Source organism: Homo sapiens, chromosome 5 (assembly GCF_000001405.40).
Source record: "Homo sapiens chromosome 5, GRCh38.p14 Primary Assembly".
Lineage (NCBI taxonomy): Eukaryota > Metazoa > Chordata > Mammalia > Primates > Hominidae > Homo > Homo sapiens.
In genome coordinates, this window is record NC_000005.10 from 172,564,142 (window position 1) to 172,579,086 (window position 14,945).

Consider the following 14,945-nt stretch of genomic DNA (forward strand, 5'->3'; position numbering starts at 1 on the left):
ATAAGCCAAATAAACAAGCAAAGAAAACACCACAAGCTTCGTATACCCAGCCCAGAACCATGCCAAAGGGCTCCTTTGAGGTTTGTATCGGGACTGCTGCTGCCAGGTAGGTCTTGCCCCTGCAAGACACGGCCTGGGAGGCCCCTCACCATTCCTGAGAGATAAGATCCCTTTCCTAATCGATTGCCTGAGTAAATGCACGCTAAGCAGCATGGGTGGGTGAACCAACACGAGCAGCGCTCACATTGATACACACGGTCTTAGGCAAACACTCAACTTGTTTGTTCAGGCTCAGACGCTGGCTGAGCACCTGCCATGTGCTGGGAGCTTTCACCTGCATTGTTTCATTTGATCCGCTCTGTGAAAGCTGGGGAGCAGCTTGGCAGCAGGAGATACTCCTGGTTTGTTCGTAAATTCCAACCAGTGACCAGGCAGCAACATATGCGTTTCCTCATTCAAGTCTTCCAACAGCTCTTGGAGGTGAGGATTTCCATCCCCGCTGTACAGATGAGGACATGATGTGCGGTGCTAAGCGCAATAGTGCATCCTCCTTTCATTTGCTCCCCTCAATGGCCCTGTAAAGTGGGTACTCTAATTACCCCTGTCGTACCAATAAGGTAATGAGGACTCAGAGTGACAATGACTTAGCCAGGGCCACCCAGCTAGCAGAAGCAAAAACAGGATTTGAACCCAGCTCTATGGACATCAGACTTGGTGGCTGACTACCCAACTGGGGCTGAGTTTGGGGAAGGAGCTGGCAAGAGCAGATTGGGAGAAATAAAGGGTGCAGAGCCCACTGAAGACACACCATTTCTCTTAAGACCTCTCTCTCTGCAGAGGAATAGGGGCATGTCGCTTGTGGCCCAGGGGCTTTGCAGGAAGTGAAATCCAGGGATGAGGCAGGCAGCCAGTCTCAGCCTAGTGGGCCCTGCTACGCTGATGGCAGCTGGTGGCTTTTCTCAGGCAGTACCTGGCTCCGGGAGGGCTTTAGGAGGACTCAGTACACAAGCTGTGGGCAACTTCCCAGGGAACAAGGACAGCTCTGCCTGGATTGCCACTGTCATGCCCCCTGGAAAACAGGAGAGCATGGTGGTTCTATCTTTGGCTCGGAATAAGAGGGAATTGGATCTGAATCCCAGCTCTGCCACACCCTAGACAAAGACCTCTCTTCCTGTTTTCCCATCTGTAAAATGGGAACCCCTCTAAGGTTGGCAGGAAGACTGAATGAGGACTGAATGAGGATGCTGGGGACTGCCACAGCCTCTGTCTGGCCTGGAAGACTTGCTCTCTCTGGGACCTCCTTTTCTCCTGTGGTCTGCCAGGGAACATTCAGAAATGGGGTGGGAAAACCCAGATTGCTGGCAAAGAAGGCCTGCCCCTCGCAGAGAAGGCAGCTCTCTCCTGCTGAGTGCTTGCGGAGAAGCACAAGTTTATGAGGGCTGCTGTAGCAACATGTGACACGCTGGGGGCCCTAAACTGCACAAGTGCATTGTCTCACTGCTCTGGAGGCCAGAAGTCCGGGATCGGGGTGCTGCCAGGATTGGTTCCTTCTGAGGCTGTGAGGCAGGACCTGTTCCCTGCCTCTCCCTGAGCTTCTGGCGGTTTGCAGGCACTTGGTGTTCCTTGGCTTGTGGGCATGTCACCCGATCTTGGCCTTTATCTTCACATCTCCCTGTGTCTGTCTCTCTGTGTCCGCATTTTGTGTTTTTATAAGGACACCAGTCATATTGGAGTATAGCCCACCCTAAAGACCTCATTTTAATTTGATGGCCTCTGTGAAGAACCTATCTCCAAATAAGGTCCCATTTAGGGATACTGGGGGTTAGGACTCCAACGTGTAAATTTGGGGATGACACAGTTCAGTTCCTGACAGCTGGGGAGGGAAGGAAATGGCCTCTTCCATCTGCTGTCCTTGGGAAGCTGCAGCAAGGCCGGGCTCCCGTCTGTAGCACCATCGCCCAGAGGCACCCTCTCCCCATTAAGGGGAAGGTGAGGCACTCGGAGAGGTAGGAGGGGCTGCCCCACTGCACCAGTGCAGGAAGGTGGGGCCAACAGAGCTGGGCTGGGACACTCCACCTCTCTGTAGACATCGCCACTTGGCTTAGCATCTTTGGAAGTTTGTCAAAAGGGGTAGGTAGGGTTTTCTGAAACACCTTTCCAAGAAAAAGGCCACCAAATTCTCCTCAAGGTCACCTCCCTCCACAAGGAACACCTCTAGGGAAAGGCCTAGACCTCATTCACATGTGAATTGACACCGACTGGCACAGGGCCTGGCTGGTGAGTGTGAGGAGCTCTGGCCTCAAGTGCCTGTCCTACCTCTTCCTTGCTGTGTGGCCTTGGGCAAGCTGCTTGGGCTCTCTGAGCTTCAGTTTCACAACTAATAAAGTGGAGGTAGGAACTGTACCTACTTTCCAATGTTATTATAAAGATTAGCTGAGAGAGTGTGTGAGAAAGCCTCAGCACAGGGCTGGGCACACAGTAACCACTCGAAAAACATTGGCTCTTCTTATAACTGATTATTGCACTGGATGGATGGATGGATGGATGGATGGATGGATGGAATGGTTCTTAAGTTGATTGGTTTCCTGGACATTCTCTCCGTTGAGAACTCATGAAACCTGCTTCTGGCATCAGATCCAAATACCAGCCCCATCACCTATTGGATGTGGTCTTGAGCAGTTACTACCACCTGACCCTCAGCTGCCCATCTATAAAACAGGGAGAAGAAGAGGCCACCCACAGAGAGTTGCTGTGAGAATAAAATAACATGATGATGTCTGGAATGAGCTTAACCCAGTGCCTGGCATGTGGGTGCTCTTGGAAGACGCTCACTCTATCTTGGTGGCCGAACAGGCATTCAGACGAAAGCCGCTTTCACCCACAGGCGGGCGCAGAAGGCCACGCCTCCTCCTGCAATAGTGTTTCCATGGCAGGCCCAGGCACCTTCTATTTTCAGATGACACTCAGTGACATCTTAACAATGCTGAAGCTAGATAGGACCCGCCGAAACAACTGTTTCCCACCAACATCAGAGCCCTGATGGACAGGGAGGGAGGGAGGTGTCCCCAGTCCTGGTGCAGTCCTGAGCTGGGTTCTAGCAGAACAACAGAGTTCGGGCCCTATGGTCTCTGCAGATGACCTCCTTGACCTCTACTCTCCCTGTGTGGCTCTGGACTCACTTTCCACTCAGCTCCCTGACCTGAGCCCCTGGAAGCCAACCTCCATGGCCTCTATAGTAGCTCCATTGCATGGTGACTTCTAGCTGGGTCCAGATGACAAGAGTGTGGCAGGGGCCACGGCACCGTTGCTGCAGCTGCGTCCCTATAGGGCCTCTGTGGGCTGGCTTCCGCCCAGGCAACACTGCCTGCAGCCCGGGGCATGACCAGCTTCCCCACTGCCCAGCTCTGGGCTTGTACTATGCCATGCTGATTTCCCTACACTCTGCCCACCCCTTTGAAAATAACTCTTCAGATTACCAGATTGAGTATACTTAGGTTATCTTCCAAATCCTATCGGATGCATTACCTTCATTCACCGCTTCCTTCCTCCCTTCCTCTCCTCCCCTCCTTCCCTGCCACCTCCCCTCCCTTCCCCCTCCTTTCCTCTTTCCTTCTGCCATAAATATCGATGGAGCATCTACCCTGTGCCATTATCTGTTCCAGGTGGCACCACAGTGAACGGGCAAGGTCCCTGTTGCCCCATGGAGTTGACATTCTAGTGGGGAGGCAGGTGAAACCAGCAAATAAAGAAACAATTTCACAGAGTGATGTGTGCTAAGAAGAAATCAAGCAGAGGGGTGGCCAGAGAGGGATGCGGGGCAGGAGAGGTGCTGGAGCGGGTGGCCGGGGAAGGCCTCTCTGAGGAGATGCAAGCTGGACCAGGAGCAGGCTCCAGCCACGGGAGGCTCTGGAGGGAGGGCCTTTCAGGCGGAGGAACAGCAAGTGCAAAGGGGCTGGGGCAGGCTTGAGCTCAGTGAATCTGAGAACAGAATAAAGGCCAGTGTGGCCTTCACAAAGAGCCACGCCCCTTCCTCTGCTGGGTCTTTGCCTGAACCATTCCCTGGGTTTCCCTTCCTCCAGGCCAGGTAAATGCTGACCAATCCTCCATCCCCAGCTCCAACATCCACCCCTTCAGAAGTGGGGTGGGGGGGCCCTCTCTCCTCTTGTCAACAGCCTCAGGGTCCTCTGCCACTAAGTCCTGGACTGTACTGTCTGCACTGTCACATCACAAGCCATGGATGCCTGTCTCCCACAACAGGACAGGGCGGGAGCTCCTTCCAGTCCAGCCTAGACCGAGTTGCCTTTGTGTCTTGAGTCCAACAAGATGCCCTGGGCCTGGCCCAGGGTGGATGCACAGTAAACATTTATTGGGTTAAATAAATGTACTGTTGGAAAAAGTCCAGGGATTTCAAAGGACAAGATGGTCACAAGGAGCAGAAGCAGTCAGGGAAGCCTTCCTGGAGAAGGTGGGGCTGGACCTGGGCCTTGAAGGAGGGTATGGAAGGGACCAGTGAGGGAGTTCCCAGCAGGGGGGATATTCCCAGCAGGGAGCTTCCAGCAGTGAGGGAGTTCCCAGCAGCAGGGGTGGCATGTGCAAAGGCCCAGAGGATGGATCAGGGGCCAGTCAATGGCTCTATCAGACCCCAGGAGAAGCTCGGGAGATAAGTTAGAAGGAGAAGGTAAGCCCCTTCTAAGCCTCAGTTTCTCCATTTGGAAATGGGGATAATAATCTTGCCTGCATTAAATGAGATTGTACATACAAGGCACTTGGTGTGTTATAGGCCTGGCCCATGGGAGTTTATCAGCAAATAACATGGGGTGAGCTGGTGTCACCCCAGCAAGTGTAGGACCCCAGGTCCTGGGGCACTACATGTGCCCGAGTCAGACTCTTGCTTCTTGGGAACTCGGACTGCCGGGCTTCCTGGATCTGACTGAGCTCAAAACCAGCAGGCTCCTGATACTCCTGCCCTCATCCAGCCCCCATCCACACTCCCAGAAATTCCCAGCCTCCAAGCCCCATCCTTTTGTGGGAAGTGCTGATCTCGACAAGGCTTCCCCATAAATACTTAGCAGGAGAGAGGTTCTCCTGGGCACTGTATAGCACTTAGAACCCACCAGACTTGCAGGGGCCACAAAAATGTTCTGATTTACTGTAAAATCACAAGAAAAAATGAATATAATGTACTCTGGATATATTCGTCTCTATACCAATGCATTCATAGTTATCAATATTTTTTTCTGGAATAAGGGGCCATAGAGACAAATGGCCTAGGGCCCACACATGTCCTAACGGAGCCCTGCCCATTGGAAGGTGTGGGTGAACCATGGGGGGACATGGAAACTGAGGCTCAGACCTGGATGGCCCAAGGTCACACAGCGTCTTAGTGTTGGATTTGAACCCAGGGCAACCTGGCTCCTAAATCTTTGATGGTTGTTTTTCTTCAGATGGCCTATCAAACCTACATGTTCCAGTCTTCTTTGAGGCCTCAGATTTTCTGACTGCAGTGCTCAGGAGGCGATAGACATCCCTTCCTCACCACCCACACATGCACACAGGGGGTCGCCCCCCTCACGCCACAGGCATCCTAATGGGGAGAGCTAGGAAGAGTCCTTCTGGATCATCTGGTCTACCTGGCTCACCACACAGCTGGGACTCCGAGGCTCCATGTGGGGACGTGCTCTCGTGGTGCTGGGGATGGGGTGGGATGGAGATTACCCATCACCCAGTGCTCCCTTCCACTCCCCACCACCTCGTTTACATTGAGTCTGAGTTAGACAAGAATCTGATGTTGTCCAGATGGAAAAGTCCCCCTGATTTTGGCTGAAAAGCTCCTTGCTGAGGGAACTATTCAAGGCAGGTGTACTACAGCCTAAACCCTGCTGGAAACACTCACCCGGGTCGGAGATCTGCTTTCTCTCCTGCCCCCGCCCCGCCCCGCCCCGTCCCACCTGTCTCTGTCAGAACAACAGGAGCCGGCCAAGAGGCCAAGCCCCGTCAGTCCTGTTCTGAGGGAAGGTGGTGGGTTAACTTAAGGTGGCGTGTTCATTTAAGGGCAGGCTGTCATCCTGGGCAGTGACTGGGGAGGCTTCTCAGCGGCACCCTGGCCTGAAGACATCCCCCTCTTGAGTGCCTAAAATCCCACCATCTGGGCTCGATTCAAAGCAGAAAGGTTGTTTACTGGGCATTTCCTTTAAAGGCAAAGAAGTGAGTGACTCTGTCAAGATCCTCTTTCCCTGTGGCCATGCGCCTGGGCAGCATGGGGACTCTGAGGTTCTGGCTGGGAATCTGGAGAGGGGGAGGGGATGTCATCACCGCTTTAGCCCTATATGGCCTTTTAGAGTCAACAACTTTGACCTGTCATGTCCAGGGAGGCAGGAGAGCTTTGTAGTTAAGAATACAGGCCGACCTGGTCACAGTCCTCACTGTGTAGCTCTGAGCCCCTCCCATCTGTCAGATGGAGATGAAAATTTTCTAGGAATATTTTGAAAATATTAAGCCAATACATTTTCTTCTCTCTTCCCTGTTAAAGGGAGGAAGGAAGGAGGGAAAGATGGAAGGAAGAAGGGAGGGATGGAAGGAAGGAGGGAAAGGAGGGAAGGAAGGACGAAGGGAGGGAGGGAAGAATGGAAGGAAGAAGGGAGGGACGGAAGGAAGGAGGGAAAGGAGGGGAAAAGGAAGGAGGAAGGGAGGGAGGGAAGGAGGGAAGGATGAAAGGAAGAAGGGAGGGATGGAAAAAAGGAAGGAGGGAGGGTGGAAGGAAGACAGAGAAGGAAGAAAAGATCCAGGAAGGAGGGAGAGAAAGAAGGAGGGAAACAGGGAAGGAAGGAGGGAAGGAGGGAAGGAAGGAGGGAAGGAAGGAAGGAAGGAGGGAAGGAGGGAAGGAAGGAAGGAAGGAGGGAAGGAGGGAAGGAAGGAGGGAAGGAGGGAAGGAAGGAGGGAAGGAAGGAAGGAAGGAGGGAAGGAGGGAAGGAAGGAAGGAAGGAAGGAGGGAGGGAAAGGGAAGGGAAGGGAGGAAGAAAAAGATCCCCAAACATGGAGTTTGTCCCTGGCTCCTAGGGAGGAAGGAGGATTTAAGAGAATGACCCAGTTTAACAGGAAGCAGAGGGAGAAGCCCCCTCCGTTCCAAGCTGGTTGAACATTTGTGAGTGAGGGACATTTCCTAAACATGTGAGGTGAGGGATCAGGAGGGGTTTACTCACAGAAATACAGATGTGGTGCAGTGTTGGAGTCCCCTCCTGAAAGGGACTTTCAGCCAGCACTGCAGCCCTTCCTCCCTGGCCCTCGTACTCTCTGGCTTTCTCCCTGCATTTCTTTCTGTCTGTTCCCTGCCCGTCTCTTTCCTTCTCCCCTTGCAGAGCCCAGCACCTGTGAGCTGTGTCTCCAGGCACAGTGCATGTTTCTGCCTGGTGGCTGTCTCTACACCTGCACCTTCAGAGTCTCACTCAGTGCACTGTGAGGTCACCTTGTGAGAGCCACACCACATCCCTGTCAGGAGGGCACTGCTGCTATCTGCATCCTACAGATGAGGATGCCAGGGCTCAGAAAGGGGAAGTCAGTTCTTCCTGGCCTACCTTCTTCTTGCCCAGGGGGCCAGGGTTCTGGGAAGGAAGCTTGGAAAACCCTAGGACTCAAGGGTTTCCATGAGAAGGGAGCCATCTTGAGTTCCGCATGCCTTGCAGCTGGGAGGTAGCTCATTGTGGTGGAAAGCAACTATTGTTGAGCCAGGATTTACACTCAAGTTGGAGCTAACGGACCCCCTGTGGCGGATCTCAGTTCATCTCAGTTAAGTGAAATGCATTGTCTTAATCATAAAGCTAGCGAGGAACGGAGCCAGAATCTGAAGTCACATCTGTGTAACGTCAAAGTTTGTGCTCAACCACAAACGTGTTCAAATCGCAGCTCTTCCTCTTGTAGGCTGTGTGGCCTTGGACAAGTCACTTGACCTCTCTGTTCCTTAGATTTGCCAACTGTTAAATAATGATAGTAATGTTTCTGATGCTTATGCTTATCTAGAGGATTAAATGAGATAATGTCTAAAGTTGTGTCCCTGTGGGAATTCTGGGGGTTACCAGCCATGTCTTGGCTCCCGTGAAGCGACAGTGATGAAAGCTGACATTTGACAGGCACCACTTCACTTTCTCCTCACCACAACCCTATAAGGTGCTGTTATTCTCCCCATCTCCAGATGAGAGAACTGAGGCACAGAGAGGGAGGGTCATTTGCCCAGGGGTCACAGAAGTCACACCAGCCAGAGGCCTGGGTGTTCTCTGTGCTTAGCCCCATGCGAAGCTGTCTTCCTACATTAAAAAATAAATAAATAAAATGTGAATGAAGTTAACCCTTTAAAAGATGCAGCATTAGAAGTAGAGGATTTCAGCCCTTTCCGAGAAACAGAGTCAGAGGCAGCCTGGCCATGCAGAGATGCATGTTGTCTGCCAGGCTCCCTGCTAGGACCTGCTGTCTTAGAATTTCCAGCTGGGTGGGAGGGAGCGAGGCTGAGGACAGACAACATGCCGAGACCCAGAGGCACAAGAATGGGGCCAGGACAGGGGGCTGGGGAGGGGTGTTGTATGAGGCCAGGGCAGGGAGGCATAGATTCTGCCAGGGTGAGGGGCCAGCCTTGTGCATGTTTTTGTTGGGGAGGGGGATGTTGAAGAGTCACAGGAAACTGAGGTGAGGAAGGTAACAGGTCAGCCCAGTTGGTGGACAAAGAGGGTGGTCACCAGCAAAGGCACAGTAACCAGAGAGCTCATGCAGTGTTTAGGGAACAGCTTGCTGGGGACACAGGCTGCTGGGGTAGGGATGATGGTGTTAGGGGGTCAGAATGGAGGCTGGAGAGAGATCTTGAGCCTAGGAATCTGTTTTTATTCAGCACCAGGTGCTTCCCATGGGCGTTGTCCAAGGATTACGCTTTGGGAATCGCAGGCTACACCCAGACAACCTGTCCTGGGGCCGCTACTCCAGAGTTGGGAAGGAAAGATGGTGTAGCTCAGCCAGGAGTCAGGAAGGCCTGGGGGTCAGCCCTGCTCTGGCATTGCTGGCTGTGTGCCCTTAGGCTAATCATTTGCTGTCTGTGCCCCAGGCTTCTTGCAGGTAATATTACGCTAATATTGAATTTCCAAGAAGGCCGTGAAGATTAGCTCTGAAAAAGATCTGCAAGTCACTGGCATGGTGCTGATTCATAGCAGGTGCAGGAAGCAGCCTTCCTTTCTTTCTCCTTCAGAAGGCGCTACTGTCCCCTCATGTGAGCAAAATCACAGTGACCAACTGAATTAGTCAGGTTGGTTCTACTGTCAGGGACAGAAGCCAACTCAAATTGGCTTAAAAGAAAACTGAAGAGGCTCCCGTCAAAGGGCCCAGCAGCAAAGGAAGCATGTGGGTGCCCGTCAGTCAACATTCTGTCTGTCTCTGCTTCTCTTTGCCGTCGGCCTTCTTTCTCCTCCTGTTGCTGTGCTGCCTCCAGGAGGCCAAGACTGAGGCTCTCAGAAGCCCCGGCCCAGCAACCCAGAAGAGGGAGAGCCGCTGTCTCCCGATATCTGTAGCTTAGTCCCAGGGAAGGCTCTGATTGGTTGTGCTTGGGTCATGTGCCCATTCCTTGAGCCAATCACGCTGGCCGAGGATGCAGTATTTTAAGTGGCCAGGCCTCTGACCAGAGGAGTGCCATCTAGGACCAGGGGAATAAGCAGCCCTCCCTGGCCAGAAAAAAGCCCAAGCGAAACAACTGAAAACCCAGAACCAGCTCAGATGCTTCTTCGTTTCTGTGCGTAACCTACCTTGCACAGGCATATGCATGTTCCAAGCTGCCTCTGGATTATTTGTCTCCACATCCTCTTCCCCCAAATGCGAGTTTCTCCAGATAGGACTAGACCCCACATCTCCACGGCCCCGATGCCTGCTATGGGGCTGGTCACAGAGCATGGGCTGACACGTCTTTACAGCCAGCGTCCAGTGTCCTCTCCACGGCCTCCATCTGAACCCACCCTCTGCTCTCTGCCTGCCTGTGCCCTGCCTTCTTCTAGGCACTGCTCCCGGGACTGCTGTGTCCTCTGGCTGGTAGGCGGACGCCAGCCCTTCTTTCCTTCTGAGTCCCCGAGGTCGGGCTGGAATCCCAGAGGCTGGCATCCCAGGTCACATGGTTACTTGGCTTCATGGTTGATCCTTCCTTCCTTTCTTCCATCTTTCCTTTCCTTCCTTCCTTCTTTCCTTCCTTCCTTCCATGTTTCCTTTCCTTCCTTCCCTCCTTCTTTCCATCTTTCCTTCCCTTCCTTCCTTCCTTCTTTCCATCTATCCTTCCCTCCCTCCCTTCCTTCTTTCCTTCCTTCCATCCTTCCTCTCCTTCCCCTCCCTCCCTCCCTCCCTTCCTTTCTTTCTTTTCTTCTCCCTCTCTCCCTTTCCCTTGCTTGTTCACTTGGAAGCTCAGTGGTCCTTCACAAAATGAGTGGACTATTTTATGTTCTTCTCCAACTCTGGCCACGAAGCTGAGGAAGGGAGGGCTGCTGCTGTTTCTGTGTGGGTTAGGCTGACCCCACTCACAGCCCCTCTTCCTCCTTGTGGCCTGAGTATCCTGAAGCCCAGTTGGCTACACCAGAGAAAAAGAGTTGCTGCTTTTCTCCAAGATCAGTTCCCTGCAGATACCACTGGGGATTTGTTGTCTCCTCTCCCCTCCCCCATTGGCCAATGCCTCCTTCCAAAGAGACGTTCTTTCTTTTCTTTTTTTCTTTCCTTTTTCTTTCCTTTTTTTGGGCACTGTTTAAAAGCGAGTAATATAAGTCTCAGATCCCCTCACATCATGTTAATGTTAAAGTACGACTAAAAATAAATTGTGGGTTGCCATAGGAACCCTGGCTGTTGCTAGGTTTAGTCTGTGGGGGATTGGGAGCCCTGCTTTTTCTGGCCCTGCTGGAAGGCGGTCTCTGTGGCTGCCAGAGCACCTGGGAGGGGCCCCCAGGGCACCACCCCACCCCCCAAACCCCTTGAAAGGTGGCCTCAGAGTCAGTGCTCCACTGGGAGCACTGAGATCACCCTGGAAGGAGGACTGGGTCTCTGCAAAGCCTCTGAAAAGGAATTTCCAAAAAGGGGGTTGGAGAGGGAGAAAATAAAGGAAGGGAGGTAAAGGGAGAGAAGAAAGGGAGGGAGGGAGAATGGACATAGAGAGGGAAGGAAGGGAGAGGGCACAGGCTTGGCCGGGCCTGTCCTCCAGCCAGACCCCCTCCAGGTACTTTTGGACAGAGGTGCTAGTCCTCCACAACTTTCCTGCTGTGCAGATGTTGAAGCAGAGGCAGCGAGATGGGAGGTAACGTGCCCAGTGGCACACAGCTGGAAAGAGGCACAACTGGACCCCAGATCACAGGCTTTCTGACCCAGCCTGGGCCACAGGGCCTTTTCTGTCCACCCTTTCCCCCTAAGCCCTCTCTGCAGCTGGACCTCTGCTTATCCAGTGGGCCTTGGGCCACTCGGGCTCTGTCCATCCCTGCCCCACGAGTAGACTTCTCAACCTCTGTCCCCTAATCGGGACGCACTGAGGACACTGTATGCCAGCCCCTAGCTGTCGCCCATGCGCAGTGGGAAGTGCCTATGTCCCTTCTCAGTCAGCCCCATTTGCAGCACAGCATGGGATCAAGAGGCCTGACTTGAGAATCAGGCAGACAGGAGTTCAAATCCATTCTCAGTGCTTGCTGCTGTGTGACTTTGAGCAGTCTCCCTGCCTCTCTGAACTTCAATTTCCTCATCAGCATGGATTCCTCCCTCGAGGGGTTGCTGTGAGAACGTGTGGGAAGATGGCTGTGGGCCCTGGGCCTGGCACGTTTGAAGAGCTGGCTGCCGCTGTTATCTGGATGATCTCGCAAAGATGCCCTGTGTTTGCAGCCACAGCACATGGCACTAGCCCCACAGGGGGTATGTCCCCCAGCCATGTGACCCAGGAACGCATTGGGACACTTGAGCGTTGTGCAAGCAATGCTGAAGAGGTGGGGGACTCAGGCGCAGGCCCTAGGCCGTGGCCCCCACGTGCATTTCTAGAACTGGCCAGAGTGCTGCCCAAGGGAGTCCCTTGCAAAGAAAGTAAATGGCAACCAGAGATGAAAGAAGGCTGGCCATCATGCAGATGCCATTGTTACCAGACTTCCCTCCCTCCCTTCCACAGACATTTCCTGATTGGATCCTCAGTGCTGGACACAGTGCCAGGGCTCCAGAAAGTGAGAGGAACACTCTACTTAGTTGTCCATGACATGTGGAATAAACAGAACAAAGACACCATTAGAAGGGGATTCCAGATGCCTGCAAGCTCAGAGCACTCATCTCCAATGACATCCAAAGGGCAGAGGGAAGCAGGGCTCTCAGTTGTGGGGGCAGACCTTGTATTTTGTCTGTCATAGACTGGAGCTGATGGGTTTACAGTCCCACTGACTTTATAGAACCTCATTGGTTCTGTCATCAGGATGCAGTAGGATCTCCTACCAGCAGGGTGGGGAGTATTAAAAAATGACTGTTGTGATCGAGACCATCCTGGCTAACACGGTGAAACTCCGTCTCTACTAAAAGTACAAAAAATTAGCCGGGCGTGGTGGCGGGCGCCTGTAGTCCCAGCTACTCGGGAGGCTGAGGCAAGAGAATGGTGTGAACCCGGGAGGCGGAGCTTGCAGTGAGCCGAGATCGTGCCACTGCACTCCAGCCTGAGTGACAGAGTGAGACTCCGTCTCAAAAAAAAAAAAAAAAAAAAAAAAAAAAAAAAAAGACTGTTGTCTGGAGGTAGCTTCTGAAAGCAGGAAGGCCTAAAAGAGGAGGGAGAGGGAGGCACAATGGGGAGAGAGCCAAGGTGGGCTTGGGTGGAGGTGGCAGCTTTTGGCTTGGCCATGCAGAGTCAGCCTACCCCATGATCCAGCTGCTGATGAAAGAGTAGGGTGAGGGTCAGAGACTGAGTGGGACTTAAGGGGCCCAAGAGGAGTGGGAGAGGACTTTGAACTACAAGAGAAAAAGAACACAAAGGGGCCAGATGCGGTGGCTCACGCCTGTAATCCCAGCACTTTGGAAGGCTGAGGCAGGTGGATCACTTGAGATCAGGACTTCGAGACCAGCCTGACCAACATGGTGAAACCCCATCTCTACTAAAAATACAAAATCAGCCGGACCTGGTGATGCATCCCTGTAGTCCCAGCTACTTGGGAAGCTGAGGCAGGAGAATCACTTGAACCTGGGAGGCGGAGGTTGCAATGAGCTGAGATCACGCCATTGCACTCCAGCCTGGGCAACAAGAGTGAAACTCCGTCTCAAAAAAAAAACAAGAAACAAAAAACAAAAGAACACAAAGGATGAGCAGTTCCCAGAAGGGTCAGCCTTCTTCGTTGCTGGGCTACCCTGCGCTTATCCACAGCTTGGCCCTGAGAGAGAGCTACAGAAAGGCAGGCTCTGTTCAGACAAGAAGAGTTTTTAAGGGGGAAGTTTGAACAAATATTGTGTTTGGTGCTTTGCAAATAACACCTCATTTTATCCACATAAATGTGCAACAGGTGATATTGTTATCCCCACTTTATAGATGGGGAATCTGAGGCTCAGAGAGGTTGAGTGACCTGCCTAAGGTCACGCAGCTATCCAAGAAGTCTCTAACACTGTACTCTTTTTATGACATCCATTCTTTGTGTTGCACAAGAAAGAACTTGGCAAGGGGGTCAAGGAAAAGGGAAGGAGCATTTATTGATCACCTACCAGGAAAGCCAGGAGCTTTCCTGATTTAAGGGGTGCATCCTCACTTTACAGATGGGAAACGGAAGCTTCGAAGAGACAAAGGCATGGGACAAAGAGGCAGAGCTGTGACCTTTTCAACTGCACATCCCCAGCACAAAGTCCAGCACCAGGTGCGCCAGACAGGATAGTGTATGTTTGTGGAGCCAAACTTGGGGGCCAGGGTAAGTCAGATTCTTGGATCTACAGAGGGCCACAGCTGCCTTATCTGTAGTGAGATGCTCATTTTGAGAAGAATTCAAGGCTCCTGCCTGAAGTATGGTAGAGAGAAAAGGACCATCCAGGAGCAGTTTTCCGTAAGTGTCAGTTTTCAAGTTCAACCATCACTAATCAGCCCTCCACTTGCACTGACACTTAACACTTACCTTTTTATTATCTCCTTTTTAAAAAAACTTAATTAAATCCATCCTCATTATAAACTCTATCTTGAAAGCATGTATACGACAGGCTAGTTATGTGATTTTTCTAATGCGTCTTAAAATTAATGCATACTTTTTGTTTTTTTTGAGATGGAGTCTCGCTCTGTCGCCAGGCTGGAGTGCAGTGGCACGATCTCGGCTCACTGCAACCTCTGTCTCCTGGGTTCAGGTGATTCTCCTGCCTCAGCCTCCCAAGTAACTGGGACTACAGGCACCCACCACCATGCCCAGCTAATTTTTGCGTTTTTAGTAGAGACGGGGTTTCACTATGTTGGTTAGGATGGTCTTGATCTCTTGACCTTGTGATCCACCCACCTTGGCCTCCCAAAGTGCTGGGATTACAGGCGTGAGACACTGCACCTGGCCAATGCATACATTTTAAATGTTTAAAGAAAAGCCTTCTCCTTGCCCCCTAAAATCCTCTCATGGCCCACACCTGGGAAGTGCTGTCCTAGAGGCCACCAAGTGTCCTTCAATCCCTGAAGTCTGGGACTGAGGCATAAATGGAACTGGAGGGTGGGGTGTCCCAACCTGTGCAGACACAGGCAGGGCCTGGGATCCGAAGGTGGAAAGCTACCCGCAACACACCTGCTTTGGCTCCGTTGGTCCCAGGGTGATGGGGATTTGTTGAGAAATACACAGAGGATCATGGGGATGCTCACATATGGCGGAGTCCTGCCTGTGGGGATGGGGTTAGCTTTGAGGGACCTCTGGGGGTGGTCAATGTCCCTTCTTCTGCCCCACTCGGGCGTGCTGAGCTCTCCCTGCTGGACTCTGGCTCCCCTCATT

At 52.5% G+C, this 14,945-nt stretch overlaps 1 annotated feature.

Annotated features, from left to right (window-relative positions):
• Positions 11,639-12,386: an enhancer, noted in NCBI's record as "H3K4me1 hESC enhancer chr5:172002783-172003530 (GRCh37/hg19 assembly coordinates)". NCBI's record gives its function as "activates a minimal SCP1, AML or CMV promoter by ChIP-STARR-seq in naive H9 embryonic stem cells {active_cell/tissue: H9 hESC(naive)}" and the evidence as "EXISTENCE:reporter gene assay evidence [ECO:0000049][PMID:30033119]".